General features: G+C 35.7%; 1 protein-coding gene across 1 annotated transcript in view; it reads right to left on the bottom strand.

Annotated features, from left to right (window-relative positions):
* RNPC3 (RNA binding region (RNP1, RRM) containing 3) overlaps positions 1–8565 on the bottom strand; it is a 29541-nt gene that overhangs the window by 2356 nt on the left and 18620 nt on the right. Inside the window, exons 10-14 of the mRNA NM_017619.4 lie at positions 7782–7943; positions 6542–6636; positions 5849–5907; positions 1811–1943; positions 1092–1163 (exon numbers count right to left, since the gene is read on the bottom strand). Coding sequence (NP_060089.1) covers positions 1104–1163; positions 1811–1943; positions 5849–5907; positions 6542–6636; positions 7782–7943 — 509 coding nt within the window. The 3' untranslated portion in view covers positions 1092–1103. The remainder of the gene's footprint in view (positions 1–1091; positions 1164–1810; positions 1944–5848; positions 5908–6541; positions 6637–7781; positions 7944–8565) is intronic.

The following is an 8565-nucleotide window of genomic DNA, read 5'->3' as shown; positions in this document are numbered from 1 at the left end:
AAGTATGCACTAAAATTACCTGTTTTAAAGACAAAAAATATTTAACTCCACAAACACATATTGTTGTGAAATGTGTTAATAATTTTATATACTCAGCACTGTAGATTTTTTTTTTTTTTGAGATGGAGTCTTGCTCTGTTGCCAGTGTGGAGTGCAGTGGCGTGATCTTGATCTCGGCTCACTGCAACCTCCACCTCGCAGGTTCAGGCGATTCTCCTGCCTCAGCCGCCCACGTAGCTGGGACTACAGGTAGGCGCCACCACACCCAGCTAATTTTTGTATTTTTAGTAGAGAGTCGGTTTCACCATGTTGGCCAGGATGGTCTTGATCTCTGGACCTTGTGATCCGCCCACCTCCACTTCCCAAATTGCTGAGATTACAGGGGTGAGCCACCGTGCTCAGCCAGAATTATTTTTAATGACAGTTTGACTTTTTTTTTTAACTTTTATTTTAACATTTACTTTAGGTTAATTTTAAGAGTTAGAAAATGTATCTGTAAGTGTTTATTCCAGGAGTTTTCAAGCTGTGGTCTCTGGATAAGATGCCTCATCATTACCTGAAACCTCATTAATCTCGCAAATTTTCAGGTGCCAACAAGGGTGACCGACCTGTCTTGGCTTACCAGACACATTCCCCATTTCAGCACTAAATGTCCAGCATCCTGGAAATCCCCTCATTAAAAGGAAAACTGGTATAAACAGTTTCCCTAGGTCCCCACATCAGACCTACCAAATCAACTCTTTCAGGGAAGGAAGGAACCTACGAATCTGTGTTTTATTAGGCTCTCCAAGTGATATGATACATATTAGGGTTTAAGAACCATTGCTTTACTATAGGCAGAAAAAGTTAAAAAAAGAGTAACAGGCACACTCCCCTTATAAGATTCATTCTCCAAACTTAATTTTCACATATAAATGGGTTTTAATCTGTAGTTATAGTTTTGACGTTTAATGGGACTTAACTGCACAGATAGGTATTTCCTCAAAAAAAAAAAAAAAGAGATACCTGAATTACTACCTTGTCAAACTTTTATTCTTAATTTTATCTCAAGAATTAGTCTTGTCTTTTTATTATGTTTTATTCACACTTACCTTTATTAATTTTTAACACTTTCTTTTTCCTTCCTTAGGATCTTGTTTTGGTCTAGCAGATCGAGCAAACTGCTAATAATTTAAAATTAAGGTTTCCTTCATGAATATGCAAGTAATCTTTTCTAAATAATTCTCAAAAACTTTCTAGTGTATGGTGGGAGTATGGTTTTTTAATTTACCTTGAGTGCCTCCTGCCTCTCTTCATGACTTGAGAGGAAATTAATAATTAACTTTTCCTTTACAGTCATTATTTTTTATACCTGGGCCTTTGCTTCTTTACCTATCTTGCTGATTTCTAGTTTGCAAACTGCATTGACTACTAAAAGCAAGATGGTTAATCAATGATATACTCTAGTTATTAAAATTCTCATGTAGAAATATAAATTACAATAAAATGATAAAATGAATTAGTTCTTTTATGACTCCAAATGTACTTCTGGATACTCTAGTCTCTTAGCATGCCTATGTACTTTTGAGCTGCATAAGTGAAACATTTAAACTTGGCTGAAATTGAACAACCTCATGCTGCTGAAGCTCTTTTATTAAAAATCTAAATAACACTGTCATCTGACTCAGTAAGGTGGGTTTAATTGTAACGAATGAATATCTACTGCTAGAATGCCAATTGTGGAAATTTCTAAAGGGTAACATGAAAATTAATTTCAGTTATATCCTTCTAAAAATTATATAGTTTTGAAATAGATGGATTTAAAGGATACAACCACCATGGGTTTTCCAAAAAGCACATATCCATTAGCTTCCTTTAAGGCTTTTGCTGCTGCTTTTTCATTAGGAAGTCCAATGAAAGCTTGTCCTTTCATACGACCTTCTTTCATCAAACGTATATCAAACCTAGAAGGAAGAAACAGTTTTGATTCAAAGAATGTCAGTTTCAATGTGAATGAAAATGTGTTGAATAATCTAACATTTTGCTATTTCAAATAAAAGTGACTACACTATTTGATAGGCACGTCAATTATTCAGTTTTCTAAAAATATATTTCATGTTCTGCACTAAAATTGATTCTACAAGTAGGTAGTATTTGTTTAAGATATACTTTTAACTATTCTCAACTATCATAAAAGTATGTGATTTAAAAATTATACTATTAGCAACTAGAAAACCAAACTTCTTTTTTTTTTTTTTTTTTTTGAGACAGAGTCTCACTCTGTCACCCAGGCTGGAGTGCAGTGGCATGATCTCCGCTCACTGCAAGCTCCATCTCCCAGGTTCACGCCATTCTCCTACCTCAGCTTCCCAAGTAGCTGGGGCTCCAGGTGTCCGCCACCACGCCTGGCTAATTTTTTGTATTTTTAGTAGAGATGGGGTTTCACCGTGTTAGTCAGGATGGTCTCGATCTCCTGACCTCGTGACCTCGTGATCTGCCCGCCTCGGCCTCCCAAAGTGCTGGGATTACAGGCGTGGACCACCGCACTGGCTGCAAACTTCTTAAATTACTATTTATCTCAATTTTTTAAGTTCCTTACAATCTGGCACTATCTGCTCAAGTGATTAAAAAAACAACTACTACTACATAACCAAGAATGGAAAAATAGAAAGGATTAACAGCCAGTTATAAGCAATTATAGAATTCATTATATTATTATTATTATGATTATTATTATTTTTGAGACAGAGTCCTGCTTGGTTGCCCAGGCTGGAGTGCAGTGGCGTGATCTTGGCTCAGTGCAACCTCCACCTCCTGGGTTTAAGCGATTCTCCTGCCTCAGCCCCCCGGGTAGCTGGGATTACAGCCGTCTACCGCCATGCTTGGCTAATTTTTGTATTTTTAGTAGAGATGGGGTTTCACTATATAGGCCAGGCTGGTCTTGAACTCCTGACCTCAAGTGATCCCCCCCGCTTCGGCCTCCCAATGTGCTAGGATTACAGGCATGAACCACCACACCTGGCCTAGAGTTCATTATATTATTATAAGCAATTACAGAACTTCGGAGTAGAAAGGAACCTCAATGATTATCTAATTAAAACCATAATTTTACAGGTGATGTCCAGAGACAGTGAGTGACTCTTCAAAGCAGATAGCTAAGATCTAAAGTCAGAAACACAAACCAAATTTTTAAATTCCTAATATAGTGATCTACTATTCCATGTATCCATTTTTTGAAATTTTTGAGAGAAAATCATAGTCAAAAGCTACTTAGAAAAATCAGATTGTAATTTGCAACTGAAATATTACCTAATATTTAGTCTATGAGACTACCAAAGTAATACATAAAAAACTATCAAAAAATGCAGTAAAGTAATTTTTTTTTCCTTATAATCATGACTCAAAGATGGCAACAAAGAAAAAGACCTAGCATTTTGCATGGCCAGCAGAAAAAATATATTTTGGCATTCTGGTAAGAAGAGGTATTTGCCCCTAATGGATATAAATAGAGAATTGTGAAACACGGTTCCATTTGTGTATACCTATCTAAAAAAATACATAGGCCAGATAAGATTTGTAAAGTATTGGTGTCACTTGAAGATTAAAACAAAATTTAGTTATAGTCACTTCTTTATTTTATCTGCACTCAAAAGCCTCTTACCTTTTCTACTTCTTCTTACTTTTAATTTATATGACAGGGAGTCTTTCATACTTTGGAATTAACAAATACGGTATTGTAAAGAATGAAATTCTAACTCCAAACATTAGCTGATATGGTTTGGCTCTGTGTCCCCAAATCTCATTTGAATTGTAACTCCTACAATTCCCATGTGTCATGGGAGGAACGCTGTGAAAGGTGATTGAATTATAGGGGTGGGTCTTTCCTGTGTTCTCATGATAGTACATGAGTCTCACAAGGTTTGATGGTTTTAAAATAATGGCAGTTTGCCCGCACGAGCTCTCTCTTTTTGCCTGCTGCCAGCCATATAAAATGTGACTTGCTCCTCCTTGCCCTCCGCCACGATTGTGAGGCTTCCCTGGCCTCGTGGAACTTTGAGTTTTCCATTAAACCTCTTTCCTTTGTAAATTGCCCAGTCTCAGGTATGTATTTATCAGCAGAGTGAAAACAGACTAATACAGTAAATTGGTACCAGTAAAGTGGGATACTGCTGAAAAGATACCCAAAAATGTGGAAGCAACTTTGGAACTGGGTAACAGGCAGACGTTGGAACAGTTTGGAGGGCTCAGAAGAAGACAGGAAAATGTGGGAAAGTTTGGAACTCGCTAGACTTGTTGAATGGCTTTGACCAAAATGCTGATAATGATATGGACAATGAAATACAGGCTGAGGTGGTCTCAGATGGAGATGTGGAACTTGTTGGGAACTGGAGCAAAGGCGACTCTTGTTATGTTTTAGCAAACTCTTTGTTTTGGCAAAGAGACTGGTGGCATTTTGCCCCTGACCTAGAGATTTATGGAATTTTGAACTTGAGAGAGATGATTTAGGGTATCTGTCGGAAGAAATCTCTAAGCAGCAAAGCATTCAAGAGGTGACTTGGGTGCTGTTAAAGACATTCAGTTTTAAAAGGAAACACAGCATAAAAGTTCGGAAAATTTGCAGTCTGACAATGCAACAGAAAAGAAAGAGGAGAAATTCAAGCCAGCTGTAGAAATCTGCATAAGTAATGATGAGCCCAATGTTAATCCCCAAGAAAATGAGGAATATGTCTCCAGGGCATGTTAGAGGTCTCATGGCAGCCCCTCCCATCACCTGAGGACTAGGAAGAAAAAGTGATTTTGTGGGCCGGGCCCAGGGTCCCTGTGCTGTGTGCAGCCTAGGGACTTGGTGCTCTGTGTCCCAGCCACGGCAGCTGTGGCTGAAAAGGGCCAACAAAGAGCTTGGGTGGTGGCTTCAGAGGATGCAAACGTCAAGCCTTGGCAGCTCCCACATGGTGATAAGCCTGCCAGTGCACAGATGTCAAGAACTGGGGTTTGGGAGCCTCCACCTGGATTTCAGAGGATATATGGAAATGCCTGGATCCAGGCTTCCCTGGTGGAACTGTGAGTTTTCCATTTAACCTCTTTCCTTTGTAAATTGCCCATTCTCGGGTATGTCTATCAGCAGTGTGAAAACAGACTAACACATTAGCTTTTATAACATTTATAAATCACAACCCTCTCTTTTGCTTTTACAAAACTGGAAGCCTTGCTCAATGCAGTTCTTTTAAAAGATGACAATCTACTGTCAGAATAAGAATCTAAAAAGTTTTGACTCATTGCTTCATATTCCTGGATGATGCATTGAAAGAATGGTTTTCAAAGCATAGTCTTTGGATCAGAAGCTGCAGCATCATCCAGGAGCCTTTTAGAAACAAATTCATGAGTCCTACCCATGAAACCTAGAAAATCAGACTCTCTGCAGGTGGGCCCAGAAAACTGTTTTGCCAGGCTTTCCAGGTGATTCTTATGCAATGTTAAAGTCTGAGAACCATGTATTTAGAGGGAAGATTACGGTCGGAATCCATCACCGACCTGTTTCTGTAAAGAGTTTTATTAGAACACAGCCATGAATATTCATTCAGGTTTCATGGCTGCCTTCACAATACAACTACAAAACTGAGTAATTCCAACAGACACTGTATGGTCTGCAATAAAATAAAAATATTAAATTTTTACTATCTGCCCATTTACAGAAAAAGTTTGCCAACTCCTATTCTAGACATCTAAAAGATTAATTGTGCAACAGAATAGACGAACTTTTTCATATAATTTTTATCTCTAAAAGGAAAATGATGGGATTAAAATAGTGGTAAATTTGTAATAGATAAAAACAAAATATAATTGAAGATTGTATTTTACTGTCACTTACATGATCCGCTGTGTTTCTGATGAAAAGTCAACATATCTTCCAAAAATATATTTAAGGTCCTAGAATTTCAATAAGAAAAAGACAAATAACAAAGCCAGGGGAAAAAAACTTAATAAATAAATAAATACATCAATGCATCAGTAGAAGAGGTCATACTGGACTAAGGTAGGCTTTAATCTAATATGACTGGTGGCCTTTCAAAAGGGGAAATTTGGACAGATACTCACAAAGGGAGTATGCTATGTACAAAGGCAGAAATTGTGGTGATGCTTCCACAAGCCAAGGAAGGTGAAAGTTCGCCAGCTTCTGCATACCAGCAGAAGCTATGGGAGAGGCACAGAACAGATCCTTCACTCAAAGCCCTCAGAATGAACCAATCCTGCCACACTTTTGACTTCAGTTTGCCTCCAGAACTGTGAGACAACACATCTCTGTTGTTTCAGCCACTTAGCCCTAGGAAATTAATACATACCACAAACTCTGTCTCAGTATTTACTGCCAGAGAACCCAAGCTATGAGAGTATTATTTTAATAAAAAATTAACCTGAAAATACTAAACAATAATTTGTCATGCCCTGAAGCACAGTAAGAAAACCACATTCTTAAAGGTAGTTTCAAACAGACTTTAACACATCAACTATAAAACCTTCAAATTATTTTCATTTACATGAAAAAAAATCAATTTATACCTACCTTTTCTTGAACATGTTTAGCTAAATTCTTTACATAAATTCTACAGTTTGGTTCACCCGGTTCATAACTTCTGAAAACTGAAAGTGTTTCCATTTCTTATTAAAAAACAAAAAACAAAGATATAAAATTAAAATATTTTAAGCAAGTTTTTAAAGATAATTACAATTTTGAAACCTAATTGTTAAATAGACAAAATAAGCTTTATGAAAATGTTAAAATTTTCACTTTAACATAAAATGAAAATTAGTTCATTTTCATATGAACTAATTAGTAACAATATTACATAAAATTAGTAACAAAATTAGTAACAATATTACAAATGGGTTTAAATATACTCACTGAAAATCTGAATTGATTATATAAAAAACTTTATATATATATAACTTTTGTTTTAAAAATTTCAGACTTCTAGAGTAACTACAATTTGTCCAATAAAATATCTACTATTAAAGGTCCGTTAAGATGAGTCATGTTATAAAAAAGAGCAAAGTATATATGTTAATTGATTTGGGTACTTATTTTGCTTAAAGTGAATTTCCCAAACCATCAGCCACCTCCATATTTAAATGCAAGAATGAAGTAAACACAGTATCAGGCATCTCAGACAAACCATGGCCTAAGAACCCTTGTATAGCTCCTCTCATTTAATGTCAGTAATCTGTTCTAGAAAATCAGATAGATGTTTTGTGTAAAAATCCTAGCTAGAAGTCTATTTCCCATTACCGTAGGAAAAATTATGTGCTACACATCAATCTAAAGCCTCTAAATATTTTCTGACAATGTACCAAAACAGTAAAAGTCTTTGAGAAGTAGAAAATTATCATGTTAGGATATAAAATCCTAAAATCATGTATTTCTAATCACCATTTTTTTTTAAATCGCTTTGTATGTATCTCAGACACAGTATTTGTGACAGTCTATCAGCTGCATTTGGAAAATATAACTCCAGACTTGTGGGACACACTGACTTATTTTAAATGCCACATGAAAGTTTTAGGAATGAAAACAAAATTTTTTCCTAAATATAGACTGGAAACACTGTATGGAAAGGAACGTTCCCTCCACTATAAAGTATGAGTATTTAAAAAAAACAGAAGAAGTGATTACAAACATTAATTGGAGAGATGTTTTAAAGTATGTGCCTTAAATTAAGGTAAATGGCATGACAGATTTGTTTTGTTTCTATAGAGTCAAAGATATGTAAAATGGAATATGTGCTTAGTTTATTTCGTGACATTACCTTCTCTAGAAATTCTGCCCTTTTCCAATTCCCTTCTAGAAATACATTCTGAAGGCATTTCATCAGAGTCTTCTTTAATCTCCTCTGTGATGTCCAAATTAGGTTTGGGGAAGATTTTTCCAAATCCTATATTGGATGCATCAACTTCAGTAGCAGGTAAATCTAAGAGTTCAATATTAACATTAACCATTAAGAATCTCTCCTTTAAAAATAGTTTTTGGGTCCCCACCTCCTATTTTATATTCAATAATATATCTTCTGGCACTAAAATTCTTTGGTGTTTCTCAATATACTAAAAGAGGCATACACAAACATTTTCTATAAAGGTCCAAATAGTAAAAAAAAAAAATTTTGTTAAAGGGTGACTAGCCATGAGATAAGAAAAATTTATAAAAAGAAAAATGTTAAATAAACACACTAAAAAGGAGCTACCTGAAAAGGCACTACATTCTCACTCACCATCCAAGATAGGAATTAAAACTAGTCACAGTTTTTCACTCACTATGTTTGCAATACTTACTAGAATTCTATCCTATATTCACACAAGTGCTCAAAGATATATGTGCAAAGACATATTCCAGTATTTTCTGCAATAGTAAAAGAAGGGAAACAACCTCAACTTCTATGAAAAAGGCATGATAAAATATTGACAAAATTATATTAAGGGCTATTATACAGCCAAAAAATGTAAAGTATATGTTTATGCTTTGACATAGTAAGCTACCCCTAACTAGATTGTAAACTTCAAAAAAGAGACCATGGCAAACTTCTCCATGGAGGCCGC

Source organism: Homo sapiens, chromosome 1 (genome assembly GCF_000001405.40).
Source record: "Homo sapiens chromosome 1, GRCh38.p14 Primary Assembly".
Classification (NCBI taxonomy): Eukaryota; Metazoa; Chordata; class Mammalia; order Primates; family Hominidae; genus Homo; species Homo sapiens.
Note: the sequence above shows the minus strand (reverse complement) of the source record. Positions and strands in the feature narration are given on the sequence as shown.